This window comes from Homo sapiens, chromosome 6 (assembly GCF_000001405.40).
Source record: "Homo sapiens chromosome 6, GRCh38.p14 Primary Assembly".
Taxonomy (NCBI): domain Eukaryota; kingdom Metazoa; phylum Chordata; class Mammalia; order Primates; family Hominidae; genus Homo; species Homo sapiens.
Genome location: NC_000006.12, coordinates 136,170,469 through 136,195,859, shown reverse-complemented (window position 1 = coordinate 136,195,859; position 25,391 = coordinate 136,170,469). Strand labels below are relative to the sequence as shown.

Here is a 25,391-nt window from a genome sequence, read left to right as displayed (position 1 = left end):
CATATGAGTTTGACAAATATGAGTCAGAAAAATATCAGGACTCTGGGGAAATGTAAAGCTGAATGGTGGCCCTGTTTCCCTAACTTGGCACTAACGAGCAGGTGATACCTTCATGGACATGGGCGTTTCTGTAGCCCCCAAAGTGGAATGAGTCACGTGGGCCATGTTTGCATCTGTGTTCTTTCCTCGAATGTTTCCTCTCCTGAGCAGTGGGATCCTTTTATTGAATCCAATTCATTGACTGGTAACATGTTACCTGGTGAGAATTAGGATATTTTCATCTTGTGATATTTTAAAGAAATTATCTTTATTTTTATTTGTTCATCTAGACATGCCAATGGCTACTTAGGCCACATTTTGAGCAAAACTCACAAGGTAGTTCTTTTTTTTTTTTTTTTTTTTTTCAAACCTCACATGTGTATACAAAATGACACAGTTTAAAGGATTTGTTTAAAAGAACAAAGCATGAGAAATACAGTGAGATACAAGCTCATAACCAAACCTAAATAAGTAAGCAGATCTGATTCAACACGAGAAAAGATTACAAAACAAGACCTAGTTTTGTAGGAAGCACTATCTGAAGACAAAGTTGCAGGACACGCTGCAAGTCCCTTTGCGGGGAGCCATAAGCAGGGAGAAATAACCTGGTTTCTACTTAGCCTAGCAGGGAGTTATGGGTAGGTCAGGGTTTCCTAAATAAGGTCCTGACAATTCATCACTGTTATTAAAAGGAAGAGCAGATTTTTCCTATCAGGCCTGGCAGTGATATGTATTCTCTCTCTGTCTTAATTTAATCTTAACTTTACCGTCAGCTTACTACACACAGTCCTTTGATTCCTTTCTTCTCAAGCAATGAAAGAATTAAACCTGGCAAGTCAACTATTGATGGTCCATGGACAAGGAGAACAAGATTGTAAAGAAAAAATCTGTGGATGATCCAATAGCTGTGGGATTTTTTGTTTGTTTGTTTGAGACGGATTCTAGCTCTGTTGCCAGGCTGGAGTGCAGTGGTGCGATCTCAGTTCACTACAACTTCCACCTCCCAGGTTCAAGCGATTCTCCTGCCTCAGCTTCCTGAGTAGCTGGGATTGCAGGCACGCACTGCCATGCCCAGCTAATTTTTGTATTTTTAGTAGAGACGGGGTTTCACCATGTTGGCCAGAATGGTCTCGATCTCTTGAACTTGTGATCTGCCCAACTTGGCCTCCCAAAGTGCTAGGATTACAGGCGTGAGCCACCGCACCCCGCCAGTGTTTTAACTAGTAATTGGACTCCTATTGAAATATTGCAAGACAGCCACTAATAGCCAAGAAAAAAAGAGACATTTTCACATTCTTTTTCTTTTTACCAACAAATGAGGAACTCAAGAACTCCCCAGTTGAATGAGGGAGGCAGCTGCATCAAGTTTATGCCTCATTTTACTTCAGATTTTTATTGTACTAGTGGCTACATCATGGGCTTACCCATTGGATATTTGGTAGTTTTTTCTCTGTGAGCTCTTCTTCAAGACCTAATTGTAATGTAAACTATCAACTCAGAACTACTAAGAATACCTCCAATCTCATTTATTTAAATTATTATATAATTATAATTTAAACAAAGCCATTTTTTAGTCCCAAGAAACCCCATTAGCTAAAATAGTGTCTTCTTTCCTACCTCTACTTTTCTTGTCCCCAGCAATTGCCTTCCTTGATTTGACCTCATATACATTAAAAATAGACTGTTCAAAAGCCCTATGTGTACCATCAAACCAAAGTAAGACAGGTTTGGAAGTAGGAATACATCTGACATATTCTCTTTTGGAGCCTCACCAAGCTGAGAACTGCAGAATACTAAAGTGATAAAGGAAAATATATCAGTTCACAGTTTTACAGAAAAAAAAATACAAAGCTAGTGTTAACTTTCCACAACCTCCCTTCTTACCCACATCAATAATTTCAACTTACCATCCACCTATTTCATAAGATCTTCACACTTTCTTTAGCACCATCTGATAATCTCTCCTACTTCAATGAAAATACAACCAACTTTCCAAAATTTCCCCTGAACCTTAATTCTGCAAGCCTCAGTCTCCCTATAGGAACTTATTATAGGCCAATCAGTATTTCCTTTGCATGTTAGGAGAAAAATCTCTAAAACAGTTGCACTTAGGAAATAAGTGCTAGCTGTCATTCTATCAGCATGAGGATCAGGTTGATAGTGGCAGAAACAGTCATTCTCCCACTACCACATTGTTTAAAGTAAAAAGAAAGGGGCATCAACAATTTTCATCTAACATTAGTTACGCTGAAACTTCTAAAGAAAAGGTTCAATGCACAGCGTTTAGCAGCCTAGAGAAGAATGCTGTAACAAACTGATTTTACGGCCAGGTGTCTGAGAAAAAATGGCAACGAAATTCCAAGGTGACACTCCAAGCTAGAGACATAATTAACTACAATGACCTGCCAGGAAGGTAAAGTCTGTTATAAAACTGAAATATTTTCTTTACTTAAATAATATGAACTTCAGCTAAACAGTTGGGTAGTTGTTCACATGAGATTAAGGAAAAAGAAAAATCCAGTTACTATCGACACTAAAGAAATGCACACCAACCAAACACCAAAAGTACTTTGGTACTATAGCCATAATAGACAAATGTGTGGCATGGGAGCAGGGAATTCCCTGATGGTTAGATGACAGGGTCATAGAAGGTTTCTGAGACCTGCTATGTCTCCTGTGAGGCTGACGCACCGCCATGATCTGTAACAAGAGTCACATAAACACAAGCTTAGCAGCTGGCTTGTTAAAACATCGCTGTGTTGAAAAGTGACTGATTCAGGCTTGTTGAAGGGTCTCATTAATCTGAGGAAACGATGCTTGGTGCCATAGATTAAACACTATGGTCTCAAGCGGAATGCATGTGAAGTTTCCAAAATGTTTCCTCAAAGACTTTATTCAGTTTTGGTTTGTGACCTTAGCTGGAAAACATACAGATGAACATGGGAAGGCAGTTGAGAAAGACATCTATGAGGATTTAAGTTGGGCAGCTTTCAGAAGATGAAAGATGTTTAAAGTTAAGGCCTTTATCTGCAAACAATAGTATATTAATAAACTCTATACCATATTTACAAATGCATTCTCTTGTATTAAAACTAACAGTATTTTCACAGTGCCATTGTTTATACAGGTAGCAATCCCATAATACTCATGTATTTTGGCATGGGAATCAGTAGCGTTTGGTATTTACAGAAAATGTACATGGGTGAATATAAACATGTCACAGAATCCATAAAAGACAGATTGGCTAATGGTGCAAAGGAATGAACTGTACAGCACCTTCCCTTCGGATTGGATAGGAAACGTGGTTTCTTAAACTGCGAAGATGCCAAGTCTCTGCCCCAAAGTGGCATAATAAAGTCAATAGCAAAACAATGAACCCCCTGTTCAAGTTTGGGTACATTGAATGACCTTAGTCCAAAGTTGCAGATCCATTGTCTAGTGCATAAAATATAAAAGTTAAAAAGATTTATTATTTTTATAATAATATTATTATTAAAATAGAAGGTACTTTCTCTCACACTCTCATTTGTGCTCTTGCACTTAAGACCAATATCCTTGGCGTTGCAAATATGCTGGTGTTTCTGTCACGCAGATCAGCAGTCAGATAGCAAACGCTCAAACGCTCCGGACTTAGGAATTGCTGCCTGTTCCAGTGCGACCCGGAACAAGGCGGACACGGCAGGAGCACCTCATTCTTCCTCCTAGTCTTCTCCTGGAGCAGGGAGAGCCTGCCCGTGGGATCAGCTCCCACGTTACTGAATGGAGTTGCTCATTTCGGCAGCGAATGCTGAGGTGACAAATGGCTTCTGTACATTTGCGAAAAGGAGGGGAGGCAGGTAAGTGGGAGGAAGATGGCGTTCCAAAGAGCCCCAGGACAACACTCAGAAAGTGGCTGGGCTGCTGCGTGAGGGCCCCTCCACGCTGCTTCTGCCCTCTGGGGGCCCTGCCGGAGGAGAGCCGCGTCTAAGTTGGGCCGGCCCCTAGGGGCTGTCGCCTTCCTGCTCCTCGCTCTCAGTCCCTTGGCCTGCGTGGTCGTGGTCAGGCCCGCTGCCACTGCTGCCCCTGCTTCTGTGCTGCCTGGGCAACAGGCTCTTCCACTGGGCCTTGTTGTGTGCGAGGTGGCCCAGCATGTTCTCCGACAGGGTGCTGTTACCCGTGAAATGGGCCCATTCCCGGAAGAGCGGCTCCACGATGTAGCTCATGAAACCTAGAACAGGCAAGTCAAGGCTCAGCATCACAGCGTGGTGAAACCCGCTCCTTACTCCCTCCCGAGCATGACTGGGGACCCACCACGCCCGGCTAATTTTTGTATCTTTAGTAGAGATGGGGTTTCCCCATGTTGGCCAGGTTGGCCTTGAACTCCCGACCTCAAGTGATCCGCCCGCCTCGGCCTCCCAAAGTGCTGGGATTACGGGCCTGAGCCACTGTGCCCGGCCTTACTTAGGTTTTATTGTATTTCCTTGATGTGTACCAGTGAGGAGAAATGGCAAATGTTTTCAGCCTAATAAAAATTTCCAGCTCTGGGGCCAGAAGGGCAAGCAAGATAATGGTGGCTACCCTCAGCCTAGGAGCATAAGATGTGTCACTTTGGGCTTGTCCCTGAATGGCTTTGTGCCTCAGTTTCCTCACTTGCAAAAAGACGCTAAAGAGAATACTAAACTCGTAGGGTTGTTATGACAATTAAATGACTTAATGTATGTACAATGCTTAGAAAACTCTTGGCACATAGTAAACTCCCAGTGAATACTGGCTATTACTTGCAGAGGGAGAAAGACATATAAGTAAAAAAAAAAAAAAAAAAAAAAAAGTGTATGCTGGAGCTAAAGAAGGCAGGCGGAGAAGGGATGGAGAGGGCAAATGACACCAGAAAAGGACACCTCACGAATTTAGATCAGCTGCATAATTCATACCCTTACCCTGTGGGATATCTTTTTCAAGATGATCATTTTACAGTTCTGTCTTGCTTTCAGTTATGTTAAATAACTAAGTTTAAAGTTCACTCATTTTCAATACAGATTTTTACCTGTATGAAAGTCCAGCTTTAATGACTAGATAAGATTGTTTGATATGAGACTTCTTTGTTTGCATGTCTGTTCTCTTACATATTTAAGATTTGTTACTTTCTAATCGCGTTTTGCCGCGTTAATGTGCTTTTCATAATAAACATGACTTGTTTATTATGAAAAGATAGCTTTCAGTCTAAGAACTGTTGGAATCATCACAAACTTGGACTTATTTAGGTTTTGTTGTATTTCCTTGATGTGTAGCTGTGGGGAGAAAGGCAAATGTTTTTCAGCCTAACAAAAATTTCCAACACTAATCCTGTATGTTTACAGGCATGTGAATTACAAGGATAGGTTTGATTATCTTTCTGTTGGACAAACAGCAGACACTTGGCCTTTGAGAATGCCATAGAGATGGAAGAGGGATGCAGCAATACACACTGTTATTGTACATTTCTGCATTGTCTCATCTTATGTGAAATATGATTTAAAGATTGTGAGATCATAGTAGAGAACCTGAACTGGAGGGGGAAAGTTAAACCAGTGACTTGATGTCTGTATTTGGAATTTTGGTAAGGTTGTACAGGGTGTCAGCAGATGAGGATTTCACGTTTTGCTTGCTGTTCTTGAATTTTCTTTACCTCCTCCACAATCTCCATATTTAATTTCTAATATCATTCACCTTCAAAGAGATGAGATATTAGATATCTAAAAAGACGCTTTGCAAAATTATACTATTCTGAAGTTCAAAGTGTGAATATTTATCAAGTTTATCTCAGTATAAAAAAGTTAAATATCCAACATTTTAAAATCCAACTCGAAAAAAAGAAAAGCCTCATTTTCTTAAGTGACCCTGGCACTATATCTGTATTTATACTTTCAGATATAAAGACTTCTTATGCTAGGTAGGAAACTGATTTTAAAGTCTGAATAGACACCAAGAGGCAGTTTTTCAAATTAAGGAAGGCTTCCACATTATCAGATTTGGAAACCTGTTCCATCAGTGTGTTCTGCCAACCTCCCTTTTCTCAAGGGATGAGCTGACATTGCTGGGCTGTTGTCCTCCTGGAGGGATGGTGGGGTGACGGGGGGTTGCGGGGAGGAAGGGGGAGTAGGGAGGAATGGTAGCCTCAGAGTAGACAAGGATTGAAGGAAAACCTCTTTCTCTTTAGCCTTCTATAGATTTCACCAATTAGAGCTTCATTTGATTTAATACCTTTTTTTGTTTTAATTAATTAATTTTTTAACAGATGGGGTCTCACCCTGTCGCCCAGGCTGGAGTGCAGTAGCATGATCATGGCTCACTGCAGCCTTGACCCCTTGGGCTCAGGTGATCCTCCTGCCTCAGCCTTCTGAGTAGCTGGGACTACAGGCACATGCCACCACACCCAGCTAATTTTATTTTTTTGTATTTTTTGTGGAGATGGGGTTTTGCCTTGTTGTCCAGGCTGGTCTTGAATTCCTGGCCTCAAGGGATTTGCCCGCCTCAACCTCCCAAAGTGCTGGGATTATAGGCATGAGTCACCCCGCCTGGCTAATATCTTCCTTTTAAAATGTAGAATTTGGTAGAGAGAGGGAAGCGTGGAGTTGGGGAGGAGATATTAAGCCCTAGTTCCACTTGGGTAGATATAAATTACTTAAAAAGAAAAATCAGATCTAAGCCTGAGAGTAGATCTCAGAAAATTCTCATTTTGGATTGAGGCAGGAAAAACAGGGGAACATTTCAGTCAGAGAGGAATAAGGACAGAGGAAATAGCTGCATTACTGAAGACCCACTGGAAAAATTGTTGTCTTGGGGGCTAGAGCCTGTAGCATCCACCAAGTTCCATTTATCTCTTTGGATTTTTCTGGCTTAGCCTGATCTGTCCCTGCCACCCCACTTCCCAACCCTCAACCTCTACGAGCTGGCAGATGTGGAGCAAAGGCAGAGAAAGATCTATGTACTAAGGATTGTTTTATAATCACCTTCCCTTTCTCTTTATTATTGGTGTGCTGGTGTAGCATCCATAGGATTTCCCTATTCACTCAACCCCCAGCCCCTTTTTAAAAGAGGTATCTATGGTAACCACATTTTCCTGAGCTGAAAATCAGGACATATGATCTGACAAAATAAGTGTGTTCTCATGACAACAACAGGACAGAATCTCTGAAATCAGGTCTGTCTCACAAATCCAGGTTGTGTGCTGAACCACGTGAGTCCTTTTGTTTGGGGGGTTCAAAATGTCATTGACAGTTGCCTGGTAAATTTCTTTCCAGCTGGAGCTTAACACAGGGAGCCTCAGGATTAGGACTTTGGTTAGCATCTAATTTTGAATCACGTCTGCAGAACCTCCATGGCTAAGGCAATTGATAGGAGAGAATTGCCTCCCAGGAGGCTGAGGCTGCATTTCTGTTGCTGATATTCCCTTGCAAGCCACCCAGCAACTCTGTATTATCTTTTCTGGGTTGTATTTTTTCTATGCCACCATCCCCAGCTCCCAGCTTTGGGGTGGAGGAATTGGTTTGATTGTGAAAACTACATAACAATATTAAGGACAATTTGAAAAAAAAAAATGCTCAATAATCGAACATACCTATTTTAATAGTTGTATATTCCATTGAAATCTTTATAGCTAGATTTATTTTGTCCTTATTTCCTGAGGATGATTTTATGACTCCACTGTGGGACGGTGGATTAGATTTGACCTTCAGTGATATTATGTAATTCTAACTTACCCTGGTTTTCTTAATTTTCAGCTTATGTTTTCAGATACCCCCTTCCCTACCAATGTCAAAGCATTAAACTTTGAGCCTTGCAAAGGTCTGTAGCACTGTGAATGCGTTCAGCTGTCTGAAGTCTATAGGAACAGGTATAAAACATGAACTGGTACATGTCAGGGTCAGAGTTTATAAGGAAAAGAGTTAAAGTTCTGAGTTCGGATTCAATGGAAGGGAACTGCAAGGAAAAGAAAGACTTGCTTTAAAGGTGGGTGGACGTGATGGAGTGTCTTAAGGTGTGATAGAAAGTCTTACCGAAGCAAAAATATTTCCTCCGCTAAAGTGCCTAAAATTTCCACAGTTTGATTTGCTTCTTGGTCTAATGCATAACTTAATTAGATAAAGCAATAATTATTTTGGATGCATTGGCATCATACTTCAACAGTTTCCCACCAGTGACACTTGAAAGAGAGTGTGGTTTTAGGAGAATAACCTGAAAATAAGTTTTGAAGGAAGGACTAGTGAAACTGGGAATCCCAGGATGCGGCGGGATAGCATGGCTCACAAGCTCTAGGCCTAGAGATTGGGTTCTTGGGAGCGAGCATTAGGGATGAGGGGTAGCGACCCAGATTGGAAGGGTCCTAAAGGCAGATTCTGCTGATTCCCACCTTCAAGCCCTGCAGAGAGTATGAATAGTTGATTCCTGTTACTTTTCTTCTACTCTTTTTGGTTTTGATTCTATTCTAAACTACCAAATTAAAATAATACAAGTTAGTTAAGGGCCTATAACAAAGCTTCGATCCTAGGTTTCATAAGTTCTCAATAGATAATTAGCTAGTAGATTAGTCATGATTAAAGTATTAATTTGGACTCAGCCATTCAAAAGGATGTTGATTAAACCTCCAGTGCTGATCTTTTGAAAGCTGTGTTTAGATCTTTTCTTTGTCACTTTTGTGAGATGTGCCAAAGGTATTTATTTGGAATTAACACTGAATTCAACTCACCAATTTGTATACTAGGGATGGAATCTTTCTGTTGATTACAAAGAGGACTGATTTCCAGTTCAAATTTCTGTTCAAGTTCACCTAAGAAGAAAGAAAGAAAGAAAAAAACACATTGGTAATCTAGAACTTATAAAATGAGTATTAATAATTTTAATGACCTCGTCGGAAGAAGTTATTCTGGGAATTACTGTTTCCTGACTTGTTATCCCTTAGGGACCCTTCAGCACCGACTTGCTCTGCCTTACTTCAGTAGTTTCCGTAAAAATTTAAAATACCACAGTGCCAATGACCGTTCATAATGGCTTATTGCTAGTAGGTGTGCTCTGGGACTAGAATAAACTTTTGAACAAGACCTACAAAAACAAGAAAACAAATGAGAAATTTCCTCACATGAAATAAAAGTTATGGCTTTAAGTGACAGGTTAAGAAAACAGGTTTTGTCCTTCCTTCTCCCTCCTCTACTTTCACGCTGCCTGACCCTAGTCTTGTTTCACCTGAGGACAACCAGGAACAGTAAGTAGGTAGGAAATGAGGTAGAAGGACTAGAAAGATCTCATCTGAGTAGCACCTCACTCTGTAACCACAAAATTAATCAGAATCTCCCATTCTGATTCCTTAGAATTTTACCTAATGCAACTGAAGGTGAAAAAAAGTATAAAGGTCAGAATGGTATTTCTTTTTTTCTTTTTGAGACAGAGTCTCATTCTGTCACCCAGGCTTGAGTGCAGTGGCATGATCTTGGCTCACTGCAGCCTCAAACTCCTAGGCTCAAACAACCCTTCTGCTTTAGCCTCCCAAGTAGCTTGGACTACAGGCATGCACCACCATGCCCGGCTAATGTATATTTTTAAATTTTTATTTTTAGTAGAGATGAGGTCTCGCTATGTTGTCCAGACTAGTCTTAATCTTCTGAGCTCAAGCTATCCTCCTGCCTCCATCTTCCAAACTGTTGGGATTGCAGGTGTGAGCCTCTGCACCCAGCTCAAAATGTTTTTTTTTAATGCCTTGGTCAGCTATCAGGCTGGTGCAAATGTAATTGTGTTTTTTTTGCCCTTACTTTCCGTGGCAAAACCCACAATTACATTTGCACCAACCTAATAGAAGATCAAAGGAGAAATGTATTGTACAAAACTTTATTGAAATACTTCATCAGTCCTTCCTGAGCATAACAAATTGAGTAATTTTTGTGTTGGAAAAAACAATCTGGTTAATGAGTGGAAGGTTCAGTTATGAATCTACTCTGCTAAAGTAGAAGAGATAAAAACACAACATTTATATAGTGACTACCGTGTGCCAGGCACGTTCTAAGCATTTTACATATGTTAATAAAAAATTGTCATTGTTTTTTGTAAGAGGCAGGCTCTTACTCTGTCACCCAGGCTAGAGTGCAGTGGTGTCATCATAGCTCACTGCACCCTTGAACGCTTGAGCTCAAGGGATCCTCCTGCTTCAGCCTCCTGAGTAGCTGGGACTACAGGCATGTACCACCACTCTTGGCTAATATTGTTTTGTTCATTTTTTTTTTAAATAGAGATAGGATCTCTACGTTGCCTAGGCTGGTCTCAAACTCCTGGCTTCAAGCAATCCTCCTGCTTCAGCCTCCCAAAGCATTGGGATTACAGGTGTGAGCCCTCCTCCCAGGCATATGTTAATTAATTTAATCCAAATAACAACCTTATTATAATCCCCATTTTACAGATGAAGAAACTGAGACACAGGGAGGGTTAAATGCTGACCCAGTATGTTGCTAGTAGGTCACACCACTAGTAAAGTGGGGAGCCTGGATTCCAGCATAGGAAGTTTGGCTTCAAAGTGTCTGCACTTAACCATTGAGCTGAAGCCCTACAGAGGCTGCAGTTCTGTCATTTTAAGACTGTAGTCTGCCTCCTGGGGTCTCTTGTGCCTGGTAATCCTCAAGGCTGAAGTGAGGAAATCATTCGGGCTTAACCTGAGTGGTTCAGGGCAGTCTGGCCACCCTAACTCTTCAACTCCAGATGATCATAGCCTTCTGAGGGCAGGCCAGAACACCATATAATATTAAGACAAACTCTCCTACAGCCAGTTTCACTCCTCACCTCCGTAATTCTGTTAATAGTGATTTTTCAGTCAAGTGTGACACTTTGGAGGAGTTGTCTTTGACTTCTCCCTTCCCTTCACCCTCCATCTCATCTGAGCCTGGCTGGGGACCCTGCAAGGGTCCCTGCTTGTTTCTTCCTCTTAAATCTTGTTTCACATCCTGTTTCTCCCTCTTAGAAGAACTTTTTTTGCCCCCTTTCACTCTGCTTTAACCTGGTCTGGTGTGTTGATAATTTATTCTTAGTTGTTGCTTCTTAGCTAGTTTTCTTCCTCCAATTCTTCTTCCACTTCAACTGTATATATTGCCCTAAATGCACTTTCTGAGATAACTCCCATTGTCATGTTCTCTACTGTAGCCTGGTGCCCAGGGGCCTCCACAATCCTCTCGTTCTTATCTTCTATGAGACTGAGCTGGTCTACAAGGCAGGGTGCATCCCGGCCTCAGTGGTTTCCATTCCATTCTATCTAGACCAGCGCTCTCTAATGGGATTTGCTGCAATGATGGAGATGTTCTCTACGTTGCCCACTGTGGCAGCCCCTTGAAATATGATCAAGACTGAGGAACTCTATTTTTTATTTATTAACTTTTAATTTAAATTTAACCAGTCACATGTGTCTTGTTACCATATTGGAAAGTATAGAACAATGCACATCACTCAAAACTGAGCTCAGATTCTACCTTTCAAGGTACTGGATCTTCTCCTGTGACCACTATCATTAGAGGTTTTCCAATTAGATCATTTATTCATTCACTTATTCAACACGTTTATGTTTCAGACACTTTGCTAACCAATGTAGAGAATATAAAGGGGAAATTTGCATAGTTTCTTTCCTCTGGAAACTATACTAATTAGTACTTTGAGAGTACAAAGCATAGACTACCTGTAGTTCTTTGCATTCTTCATAATATCTCCAATGGGGCTTTGCACATAGGATAATCAGTTTTGTTGAGGATTAGACAAGGCTGGAAGCAGATGTTCAATAAAATGTTCTAGGAAACTAGGTTGAGATGATATCAATCTGTAGTTACAAGAGGACAAAGTCTAATTTTTTAAGGTTTTTTCGGGGAGAGGAGGGAGATATATGGTATTTGGAGTCCTAATCTCTGTTCTGAGAATGAAACAGTTTTTCTAATTCATGGGTTCTTGTTTTCCTTTCCCCCTGTGTCCTCAACCTTGATTTTAAGGGTTTTCCTTTGCTTAACATCATGAATCACATTAAAGGTACTTTGTCCAGGACAGTTAGTAGTCTGTGGAAGCCTGCCTGCCAGGAGCAGGCTGGAATGAGCTGAGATGAGTCCAAATCTTAAACTGAAAGATAAATCAAAATGACACAAGTCATCCTTATAGAATTAAAAAAATAATAATTCAGTAGGGAGGACAGGCAGTTTGGATGACCAGGGAATCTACTCTTTTTTTTTTCTTTTTCTTTTTTTTTTTTTTTTTGAGACAGAGTCTCGCTCTGTCACCCAGGCTGGAGTGCAGTGGCGTGACCTTGGCTCACTGCAAGCTCTGCCTCCCGGGTTCATGCCATTCTCCTGCCTCAGCCTCCCAAGTAACTGGGACTACAGGTGCCCGCCACCATGCCCGGCTAATTTTTTTTTGTATTTTTAGTAGAGACGGGGTTTCACCGTGTTAGCCGGGATGATCTCTATCTCCTGACCTCATGATCCGCCCGCCTTGGCCTCCCAAAGTCTTGGGATTACAGGCGTGAGCCACCATGCCCAGCCTATAATCTTCTCTTAAAACAAGCAGAATTTCTACTAGACCATAAGGCTATTAAATAAAAAGGACTAGATATACTTTCTATTCTTCCTCTGCCAGGAAACATGCCAGAGGAAGGTACATGGAAGCCTGCCTTTAGAGATCAGTGTTACAAATGTTCTAGGTTTTTCCATCTTATAATGCATGCATATATTACTAGGACAATAAGCAGTTTTGAGAAAAGGGTTTTTTTTTTTTTTTTTTTGGAGACGGAGTCTTGCTCTGTTGCCCAGGCTGGAGTGTAGTGGCACCATCTTGGCTCACTGCAACCTCCGCCTCCTGGGTTCAAGCAATTCTTTTGCTTCAGCCTCCCGAGTAGCTGGGACTACAGGTTGTGCCGCCACGCCCGGCTGATTTTTGTATTTTGATTAGAGACTGAGTTTCACCATTTGGCCAGGCTGGTTTCAAGTTCCTGACCTCAGGTGATCCACCTGCCTAAGCCTCCCAAAGTGCTGGGATTACAGGCATGAGCCACTGCACCAGGCCCAAGAAAAGAGATCTTATAGGTTACATTTCTTGGTTGATACCATTTACTGTACTTAGTTGACAACTTTGATTTACTGGCACTATGGGCCTTACTATCTACATAAGTGACATGGTCCTGCCCCAAGGTGCTCAGAATCCAAATAAGGTGCAAGATGAGAAAATAAAAGGTTTACACTGCAGTCGATGCTGACTTGTGTACTTTAATCATGCTGGGCATGATTGAGTCAAAACCAAGTGGGCTAGAGTAGACTCTTTCCTCTGTTTCATTGTTTGATTTGCAAGGACAGAGATCTTAGCCCCTCTCTCACTATGCTATTTCAATATTCAACATATCAAACAGTAAAGAAAATATTGATTATATCTAATTTAAAGCCCCCTAGCTCCAATTTCATCATGTTTCCTTTTGTCTTACCTTCCTTGGAGATTTTATTTAGGGGCAACTAGAGCTGAGATTTTGATTTCTAACCACTTTTACTCAATTCAAGTGAAATTATATACAGAATTGTAGGAGTTACATGAGCACTTTTATTCTGAGAGAAAGATACAGTGAGTAGAGACTTCTGGCCCCACATGAGCTCAATCAATTCTTCTGTCTTTGGGGCCATCACGATGTCATTGACACATCTTTCAATGGTGCCTTCTCCAAAAGGCTCACTGTTGCTATTTGACCTCCCCACAGAGCTGGTATGTGGGACACTTCAAGCTTTATTTGTTCTCAGCCTCTCAAACCTGATTCTGTCACTAGCATGAGGGCACTGTTGATGCCTGAACAAACATCCTGCACATTGAAACCCAGCCTGAAGAAACAAGGCTGTATTTAAAGGTTGATACCCCACCCAACATCAAGATCCTGCTTGCTAATTCATTGCTTTATTTCTGAATGAGGTTAATCTTTTAAAAATTATACCCTAATTCAGGGCCATTTGTCTTTTCACAGCAAAATCCTTCTACCTCACTGTTGAAACTATATTTGAAAGGAAGAACTCACTTTTTGGTCAGCTGTGTCCAATTTCATTATTTTTTTTTTTTTAAGAAAGCAAGGAGAAGGAATACAAAAGGAGTCTAAGTCCTTCTGTCAGAGTGGAAAACATTGACCTCAAATGACATTTAGCCTTTAGGCTGCACTCAGCTCATTAAAATGAAGGTCAAAGTCAAAATCAAACTATCCCACACATTCTTATATCCACAGAGGAGAGCCATTTATAATCAATGTCCCACTTTTGCTCATTTTTATTTTGCCTCATTACTACCTGTTTCTGTAGTAAGTCAATACGTCAATGTTATTTATTTTTAACTTTTTCCGAAAAAGGGTTGGATGAGTTCCAAGAGAGTAAAAGAGAAAGGTTAGGATAACAAGAGTTGATGAGAGAACAAATGTCATGATAGATCAGCCATTTCCTGTTTTATTAGGATAAATGCCTAAAAGAAGACAGGGCAATGAAATCTCAGCTGTTGGATCACTACTAACCTTGCCTGTAGAATTCTTCACAGACCCTTTCACTCCACTGCTTGCTCATCTCCCAGATTCTACAAGGATTGCAAATGTCAGCACACTTCAAGGCGATCTGAGAAATGACAGGGCGGGGAGAAATTGTGAGAGGATGTTCTTTCAGTTGCAAAAGCACCCCAAGCCAAAGAGGCTATCAAGCTGTTCAGTCTGCTCACAGTACCAGGCCCATATTTACAGAGTACCTCCCTGACATGCCTCTTCAGGAAACTGCACTTATTCACCATGATACAAAGCCTGCATTGAGAATGCTGGCTTTATAGCAGTGAGGAGAGAAGAGCCACAGTCCAAGGACATGGAGCTTGCTGGAAGAGACTTGGGTGGGCAGGCCAAGGAAAGCCATGGCCTGGCTCCTTCTGTAGCTCCACCTCCTGCATGCAGGGAGGTTGCATGGTCCCTGGCCAGGCTCAAGTGAGGTCATCTGGACCTCACTCTCACAGTAGCCACACTGACAAACCCCATACATCACTTAAATTATGTGTGTTGGCATTTATGTCTGCATGTGTAAGCTCAGACTGCCAGTCAGGGAATGAAGTCGTATCAAACCCAGGAATGCTTTGTTTGCACAGCTAAATTAGGGCCTTCTTGACTTGCCTCACACTGGTCTGGATCTGAGATGCCAGCTTTTTGTCAGTAATGATGACCCTATGAGGGTTACCTTGAATTCCCAGAGAAGCAGATTCTCTTTTAACCACCACCTGCTACCAAGAGACCAGCAGTGTCCATTGGTTTGACCCAATTCCTTGGCATCACAGAACAGATAGCAATGTTGGGGTCTGGAAGACCCTTGGATCATATCAACTTGCAAATTTAGTTGTTTATATTTATTTCCTGGTTAGTGGGGGTACCAGTACATGTTGAAGTAGAGGTAAGTGTCAGAGAAGCCTCCTCCAGCCTCTGCCTTAAGGAATGCATTTGAGTTAGCAAGGCTTTCTTTCGAAATGCAAGTGTTCAAGGCCAAATCTTTCAGCTATTCACAACTTGGCTTTAGTCACTCAAATCAGACACCTGGTTGATCCTTGTGGCATTCAGGGACTAGAAGCCTAGTTTGGAAAGAAATAAGGAAGGAGTCATAGTTCTACTGCTGGGAGTAGGGTATTTCCTGGCAAAGATGGAGCACTTTGGACAGCTACAAAGGGTAGCATGAAAGCCTGGAACAAAAAAGACTGCACCATTCAATCTCCAGGTGTAGCTCCATCTCATCTATCTAGATGAGTCTAGGTCCATTCACTATGTTTTTTTGCACCAAAAGAAAAGAAGGAAGACAAGAGAAAATGGAAGATCAAGAAAGAAGGTTCTGGTTTGGATACCAGGTCACATTTTTATTTGTGACATCCACTCTGCCCTGATGTAATTTGTCATGTCACAAATGGCTTCTTGCCGTGGAGTAAAACAGAAAGGAATGGACTTGATCCAATGTAATTCAATTCAGTTCAATTTTATTTTTTGCTGCCTAAAAATAAGACCAGATAAAAATGTTTAAGACTCAGATGAAAATAGAAGTTTAGGTAGTAAAAGGAAATAAAGCAGGTTAAATAGGTTTAAGGTAAAGGGAGGTCACTTGTTTTCCAATTTTTGTATGTACTATAGTTAATATAATATGCTTTTGTGTTTCAGAAACAGTCTTTTAAAATGTGTGGGTATTGCAGTAGCTGATTTTATACCAAGCCACCAAATGCGGTAGACCTTTACTGCATCCAGCGGGATTACTCTGTGATAAATCAGTTACTGAACAAGAAAAATGAGCTTTATCAACTTGTTGACCTAAAACCCAGATTTTGCTTAGTTGGGAACCACTTATAACTTTCATGCATTTCAAAGCCTTTACTAAAATAGGTCACTGCTCTAACTCATACCATCGGAGATAACTCCTTCTCAAATGTGCTAAAATTATTGATCATGGCCCTGAGTGGATTTTTGTTGTTGTTGTTTTGTGTTTTTTTAGAGACAGGATCTCACTCTGTCACCCAGGCTGGAGTGCAGTGGTGCAATCATAGCTCACTGTAGCCTTGAACTCATGGACTCAAGTGATCCCCATGCCTCAGCCTCCCAAGTAGCTGGGACTACAGATGTGAGCCACCACACCCAGCCCAGCTGAGTGTTTTCACTCAGCAAAAAGAATGGCTTTTATTGTTTCGTTTACCTGAAGCATAAAGTGCCTGTCCTGTGCATCCTCCAGTCTTAAGTCTTTATTGTGGAGGTGAGCTTTCAATCTGGTCAAAAATTCATTCTGCCTGTTGATGTCTGTTGCCAAGATCAAGGAGCCCAGCTGCTGTTCAATATCCTGTCTGCATCCACAAGAATGAAAGAGAAAAACACACACAAAGCAAATCCCTTTGATGAGGGTGATTGATTTTATCATCATCAGGTGGCTTGTAATCTAATTTCTGCCTTTGATTCTGTTTATTACACAATGTGCCAGTCCTTCACTGCCTGAGAGCAAGTCTCCCACCCACCAGTTGCGTCCTTGGACAGGAAGCATGCCAAGAACTGTATAAAGTGATTGAAACCTTGAAAAACAAAGTTGTGGTAGTGTAGACATTTCTATGGGTGAAAAAATCTGAAAGCCAAATAGAAATGCATGTTTTAGGGAGGACACAAAAGACTTGTAGAATCATGAGATTGGCGGTGTGTTTTTAGAGTTCAAACATGAAGATGTGCACGGAGAGAGAAAAGGGCATAACAATAGTAATAAAAATGAAGACAATAATAGTAAAGGGTACCATGGGATGGAAAGATCCATCAACGGAACACAATACATAGGCCAGGAAGAGATTCTGGAACTTCAAACACAAAAACTAATTAAGGCACTGTTACAAACCAGTGGGCAAGAGATATATTAGTCAACAAATGGTATAGAGAAAATGGGATATCTTAGAAAGGTAAAGCAAGTTGGAGCTTTCCCTCACATATAAAAAGTAATAAAGGAACAATCCATAAATATTTGTAAAATTTACCTTTAAAAATGAAATATATTTAAGTAGAATGCATAGGGAATACATACATAATTTAATGAATAAATAGAAAATGAACACCTTGTAACCACCACTCAGGTCAAGAACACTGCCTGCCAGTACCCCAGAGGTCATGTTGCCTGTCTCATCACATCCCCTTTCCTTTCAAGCCTGGAAGTAACCACTTTCTTGCTCTTTGTTTTAACAATTTTCTTGTTACTTATGATTTTACCACCTGTGAGTGCATCTATAAACCACGCAACTTAATTTTAACTGCTTTTGAACTTTAAGTTATATGGTATGTATCAGTGACTGACTTCTTTAGCTAAACATTATGTTTTTGAAATTCCTTCATGATGTGTAGGCTATAGTTGATCCTTTTTTGTTACAGTGTATGCCACTGTATAAAATTCCATTGATAATGAAATCCATTCCATTATCCATTCTACTTTTCATGGTCACTTGAGTTTTTTCTAGTGTTTGGCTACTATGAAAAAAGCCACAGTAAATATTCTTATATACCTCTAGTTACGCATGTGCAGAAGTCTCCCTGGGGTCTATATTTGGGAATGCAATAATTGGATGACAGGGTATGTTTATCTTCAATTTACTAGATAATGCCAATTATTTTCAAAATGATGGTATAAATTTTTGCTCCCAGCAGTAGCAGATGAGATTCTCATTGTTCTACATTCTTACCCTTTACATTTTTTGCTAGTTTGATGGGCATGTCATGCAACTCACTGTAGTTTTAATATGAATTTTGTTTACTAATGAGGCTAGACATATTTTCATGTCTTTATTGGCCATTTGTACTTCTTTTGTGAAGTTTCTACTCTAGTTTTTGTCTACTCTATTAAGTTGTCTTTTTCTTATTGTTTCTGAGGTTCTTTGCATATTTTAAATACTGGTCCTTTGTCAGCTACGTGTTGCAAATATTGTGTCTGTGGTTTGTCTTTTAGCTGTCTTTATGATGTCTATTGATGAAGTCTCAATTTTTATCATTTTAATTTTATTTTTAAATTTATAAATAGAGATGGGGGTTTCACTATGTTGACCAGGCTGGTCTCGAACTCCTGGCCTCAAGTGATCCTCCCATCTCCACCTCCCAAAGTGCTAGGATTACAGGCATGAACCACAGTGCCACCAGGAAGTCTTAATTTTTAATGTAGCTTAATCTATAAATCTTTTTATTTATGGCTAGTTTTTTTTTTCCTCTTTAAGAAACTTTTCCCAACTCTGATGAAAATTTCCCTACATCATATTCTAAAAGCTTTATAGTTTCACCACAAACATTTTTGTTTTTAAGCCATACTACATCTTTAATCCAGTTCTGAACATAAAAAATTATATAAAACAGAAAATTCACAAGAGAAATACAAAATATCTCAAAAAATAAAGTGATATTAAATATTCTTAGTATAGCAGAAAGCAAATTAAAACCACAATGTGATATTATTTCTCCCATTTTTATTGGTGAGGATTAAAAGTAACTGCTAAGTAATTTGCTGAATTATTGAAAGATTGTAATACCCAATGCTATCAATAGTACGAGAAAAATGGTTCCCCTCATTCTTTGTTAGGGAGTATAAATTAGTACAATGTTTCTGGAGGGTAATTTAGGAATTAGTGGAAAAAGCATTTGATGAACATAAATAATCTGACCAACAGTCCATCTACAAATTAACATTAACATGTTAGTAAAGATATAATTAGTAAAGATATGTTACAAGGATGCGTATTCTATTGTTATTTACAATAATGAAGCATTCCGTGGGGGAAAAAAATCACAAAAATTTATGAGATTAGTTAAATAAACCATGGTACATTCATATTGTGCAATTATGAAGTACAATGTACAGCTATAGTAATTGACATTGAAAAATGTCATCTTTTTAATGCTACAAACAAAATGCAAAGCATGTAAAGCATGATCTCTATGGTCACAGAAAATAAACTGAAAAGATCTATAATGGGATTATGGTTGATATTTTATTTATACTTCTCAAAATTATATGAATTCTTTGAAGATATGAATACTTACTGAATTTATAATTGGAAAATAAAATTATTTTAATTAGGTGAAATGTTTCATGAATCAAAAGGCAAACTAAAAACTTCAAGTAATATTTACCACATATAACAAATGGTTACTGTAGTTAATATACAAAGAGTTCTAACAAATGAATAACACTGATAGGAAAATAGGAAGAGACCAAATATAAAAATGTGTTCTCTAAAGAAATAGCAATGATCAGCAAATATACGAAAAATTTCAATCTTGGTTGTAAGTAAAGGATGCATACTAATTTAATGAAAACCACTTTACATATATATTTGTGTATATACATACATATATGTCAAATTTGCAAATATTTTAAAAAGATAAAAATAAACTCAATTTTGGTGATGGTACATTGGTACATTTTCTTACAATCCATCAGTTGGAATACAGGTAGATACAGCCTTTTAGAAGAACAACTGGATAATATACAAGAAACTTAAAAGTTCAGACCTTTCTGACCAATAATTTTTATCTACAAATACTTCCTGAGAAAACAGAGTATCAAAGTTTGGGATATTGGAAACCATTTGAATTCCAAATGAAAGGCAGTAGTGGTATACAATAATGCCATACGGCTGACAAAATCATTTTAATTTAACAGGTTTAATGATTTGGAAAAAAGTCTTTATTGTAAATAAAAAATTTCAGGACGTAAACTGTAAAATAAGTTCCCCAAATATAATCATATTTTGTTAAAATAAGTTTGTATTGAAAAAAGACTAAAAGAAAATAAACTAGCCAGGTTAACATGAACTATACCTGGATGGCAGGATTACTAGCAGTTTCAGTTTTCTCTTTCATATCAAGCTGAAACATATGAAAGTGCTAAAAGTCTCCTGTTTTTGGCCCTTAAAAAGAGCAACTTCACATAGTTCAAACTAACACTTTCCTGAATTTTCCTTACTTTCTACAATTAACCTGCCCTACTTTTAAAATCAGAAAAATGACATTAAAGCATTTACCTGTGATAGAAGGAATAATAATGATTATGATAATGGCTTTTGTAATAAAGTTTTCACATATATTATTGTATAACAATTATTCTTCTGGCAAAAACAATTTATAACACTGTGTTCCACAAAGACACATAAAAATATATTTTTCATTGGAATCCATAGATGTGAAATGAATATTTTAGGAAAGAAATATTGAGTAACAAACAGGATGAATGCAGGTACTGACCAGGAGAAGTCTGGTCACCCCAGAGTCCTTTCCCATTTCCCTTGCATTTTCTTCTTTCCTGTCCTCACTATTCTTCCTTTCCTTCTCCTTCTTTCTTCCTTGTCTCTCTCCTTACCTCCTCTTTTCTTCTTCTCACTTGATCTTTTGCTCTAGTTTTTAGTTCTTTTTGCATTTAATTCTTTCAATCTTTGCAATTTATTATTCTAGTAAGAGGCATAAGTTTTTATTCCATGCACGAGAACTGGTTTTATTTAGTTCCAGGGAGTAAAAATTTATCAGAACTGAAATTCCTCCTGCAAATTTCACATTCCTCTGGGTGCTAGGAAACAGCATGAGATCAAATCAGAGGGCCAGGAATCAATCCACAACCCAGAGTATACTGCTTGTTCAGTTGGGAGACAGCACTTGGTCCTTGACCTCAAGTTATGTGCTTGTCTTGAAGAAGGGTACAGCAATCTATGTACTCTTTTCACCTAGGTTTCTTGGGTTCTGCACGTGTTCATTAAACAGATCAGAATTAATGGTGGCCTTGGAAGACAGTATTAGCAGCTAACTTGGGGCCACCAGGAAAATGAAACAATGGCCTCAGATTTAGTGGGACTCAGCCTACATACCATGGCTATCAAATAGTGAACCAGAAAATGAGTGTCTCCCCTTCTGTTTAAAGTGCAAGAGACGTAAGGTAAATTAATTGGTGAAAAAAATGCTAGGGCCATTTCAATTACTTAGCAAAAGACATTTTAGAAAAGAATTTCTGACTTCTATTTTTGCTGAGACTAGCAATTACAAAATATACTTTTTTGAACTCTAGCTTTAGAATGCCTGGGTTCCTTCTTGATAAATATTTACTATTTGGAGCTACATGGAAGGACAATTTTGCTAAACTAAAGGTCGGGAATTTGGCAAAGTCGAGCACTGATACTGAAGCGTGTGAAAACTGAGAGCTGTTTATTATCCCTTTTCCTGACTGTAGGTCATTGACTCTGCAAGGCCCTTTCAAAGCACACAGAGAGATTTTGGTTTCTGGGTTGCTGTAACTGACACCAAATCTCCTCTGATAGACAGCTCAGTGCAGGCAGGAAGTACAGCCGGGGGGCTCTCTGCCATTCACGCAAAAGGTCCCAAGCCTGCCCTAGAGAAAGTGGCTTATCTTTACTGCATGCACATCAGTATGTTTCATCTCGGCAGCACTTACGTCATTTCCTTTGGCAAATGAGCAAGAAGCCTTGATTCTCGAAGCATGCCAATTGTAGATCGCCAGTGATGATTCTCCAGCACAGACATATTCTAGAAAGAAAGAAAATAAGAGTTATAAATGAGAGGGAAGCCAGATACTGATCTTTCATGCTGAACACAGCTCCACGGACGCTAGCATTTTCCCTCCAGTTTGTACTTGATGACCCAGAGGCAGACCAGGAAAAAAAAACCCAAAAGATAAAACAACCATGAGGTCTAGTCTCAAGGCTGTGATGATGATGGGAGAACAGCAGGGCCTGCGGCTCACCCTCTGCTGCAGGGTTGAATGAGGATCTATTTCCAGCATCATTCACTCCTGCCTCTGCCCCTCTTCCAATAGCTCAGTCAGGCCACGCTAAATGTAAGAAAGAAAGTGAAGCAGTGACAGCTTTCTACATACGGCTAGCCAGTTTTCCCAGCACCATTTATTAAATAGGGAATCCTTTCCCCATTGCTTGTTTTTCTCAGGTTTGTCAAAGATCAGATAGTTGTAGATATGTGGCGTTATTTCTGAGGGCTCTGTTCTGTTCCATTGATCTATATCTCTGTTTTGGTACCAGTACCATGCTGTTTTGGTTACTGTAGCCTTGTAGTATATTTTGAAGTCAGGTAGCATGATGCCTCCAGCTTTGTTCTTTTGGCTTAGGATTGACTTGGCAATGCGGGCTCTTTTTGGTTCGATATGAACTTTAAAGTAGTTTTTTCCAATTCTGTGAAGAAAGTCATTGGTAGTTTGATGGGGATGGCATTGAATCTATAAATTACCTTGGGCAGTATGGCCATTTTCATGATATTGATTCTTCCTACCCATGAGCATGGAATGTTCTTCCATTTGTTTGTATCCTCTTTTATTTCATTGAGCAGTGGTTTGTAGTTCTCCTTGAAGAGGTCCTTCACGTCCCTTGTAAGTTGGATTCCTAGGTATTTTATTCTCTTTGAAGCAATTGTGAATGGGAGTTCACTCAAGATTTGGCTCTCTGTTTGTCTGTTATTGGTGTATAAGAATGCTTGTGATTTTTCCCTTCCTTACACCTTATACAAAAATTAATTCAAGATGGATTAAAGACTTAAACGTTAGACCTAAAACCATAAAAACCCTAGAAGAAAACCTAGGCAATACCATTCAGGACATAGGCATGGGCAAGGACTTCATGTCTAAAACACCAAAAGCAATGGCAACAAAAGCCAAAATTGACAAATGGGATCTAATTAAACTAAAGAGCTTCTGCACAGCAAAAGAAACTACCATCAGAGTGAACAGGCAACCTACAAAATGGGAGAAAATTTTCAAAACCTACTCATCTGACAAAGGGCTAATATCCAGAATCTACAATGAACTCAAACAAATTTACAAGAAAAAAATAACCCCATTAAAAAGTGGGCGAAGGACATGAACAGACATGTCTCAAAGGAAGACATTTATGCAGCCAAAAAACACATGAATAAATGCTCACCATCACTGGCCATCAGAGAAATGCAAATCAAAACCACAGTGAGATACCATCTCACACCAGTTAGAATGGCAATCATTAAAAAGTCAGGAAACAACAGGTGCTGGAGAGGGTGTGGAGAAATAGGAACACTTTTACACTGTTGGTGGGACTGTAAACTAGTTCAACCCTTGTGGAAGTCAGTGTGGCGATTCCTCAAGGATCTAGAACTAGAAATACCATTTGACACAGCCATCCCATTACTGGGTATGTACCCAAAGGACTACAAATCATGCTGCTATAAAGACACATGCACACGTATGTTTATAGCAGCACTATTCACAATAGCAAAGACTTGGAACCAACCCAAATGTCCAACAATGATAGACTGGATTAAGAAAATGTGGCACATATACACCATGGAATACTATGCAGCCATAAAAAATGATGAGTTCATGTCCTTTGTAGGGACATGGGTGAAATTGGAAATCATCATTCTCAGTAAACTATCGCAAGAACAAAAAACCAAACACTGCATATTCTCACTCATAGGTGGGAATTGAACAATGAGAACACATGGACACAGGAAGGGGAACATCACACACCAGGGCCTGTTGTGGGGTCGGGGGAGGGGGGAGGGATAGCTTTAGGAGATATACCTAATGCTAAGTGACGAGTTAATGGGTGCAGCACACCAGCATGGCACATGTATACATATGTAACTAACCTGCACATTGTGCACATGTACCCTAAAACTTAAAGTATAATAATAATAAAAAAAAAGTGAAGCAGTGAAATAGGTAGTAATGGATACCATGTCACTATAGTCATAACATAATCCAAGATTATACTAGCAAACTGAATGGAGGCAAGCCTCACAATCTCTGGTCTAATCTACTGCACTGACCATCATTTCTCAACGCTGATAAGAACCTCCTAAGCCCAAACCACCAGGGTAGCTGGTGACACATTCAGACTCCTGAGTCGCAGTCATTATGGTTCTGATTTGATAGGCTTGTGGTAATAAATTCATATGTACACTAAGGTTTGAGAACCATTACCTTGCAGGCAGCTCTGCCGGTAATCTTTGTGACCAGCACCTTGGCATTTAGCTGATTAAATCTGTGAGTTGGAATCTACAATTGCTTCCTTGCTCAATTATCTTAACATTCCTGTCCTTGAGGGAACCTGTGTTATATTCAATCTCTCCCTTGACCTGTTATTTTGAATATGCTTTTTATCTGAACAATTAACCATTTAAATGATGAATATTTCTTATACTCAATTGTGTTTTGTTCTAATTAGGAAACATTATGTCTGTACCATTGACTTCATAGATACAGAATAGAACTCCTCTTGACCTCAGGCAATATTTTGTTTATTCAGTCTCCATTTGGTTTCAAGAGTAGTTATAATCTTACAAAACATATAAAAGGATAGTTGCTATGGTTTGAATGTCCCCTCCAAAACACACGTTGAAACTTAATCCACAATGTGACAGTATTGAGAGGTGGGGCCTTTAAGAGGTGATTGGATTGTGGAGTAATCTATTAATGGATTAATGGATTAATGGGTTATCATGGAAGATAAACTGGTAGCTTTATAAGAGAGGAAGAGAGAAGAGCTAACACTTGTGCATGCTCAGCCCCCTCTCTGATGCCATGAGATGCCTCAGGACTCCGTACAGAGTTTCCGCTAGTAAGAAGACTCTCACCAAGGTACAGCCCCCTCTATCTTGACTTTCATAGCTTCCATAACTGTAAGAAATAAATTTTGCTTCCTTGTAAATTACTCAGTTTCAGGTATTCTGTTATAAGCAACAGAAAATGGACTAAGACAATAACATTCAATAAAAAGTGAGAGACACTGTATAATTTCATGTGTATGAGGTACCTAGAGTAGCCACAGTCTTAGAGACAGAAAGTAGAATGGGTGGTTGCCAGGGACTA

General features: G+C 39.5%; 1 protein-coding gene across 1 annotated transcript in view; it reads right to left on the bottom strand.

The window, feature by feature from the left end:
• PDE7B (phosphodiesterase 7B) overlaps positions 286 to 25,391 on the bottom strand; it is a 343,874-nt gene continuing 318,768 nt past the window's right edge. The window contains exons 9-13 of the mRNA NM_018945.4: positions 21,972 to 22,063; positions 16,719 to 16,863; positions 14,537 to 14,633; positions 8,744 to 8,824; positions 286 to 4,246 (exon numbers count right to left, since the gene is read on the bottom strand). Coding sequence (NP_061818.1) covers positions 4,020 to 4,246; positions 8,744 to 8,824; positions 14,537 to 14,633; positions 16,719 to 16,863; positions 21,972 to 22,063 — 642 coding nt within the window. The 3' untranslated portion in view covers positions 286 to 4,019. The remainder of the gene's footprint in view (positions 4,247 to 8,743; positions 8,825 to 14,536; positions 14,634 to 16,718; positions 16,864 to 21,971; positions 22,064 to 25,391) is intronic.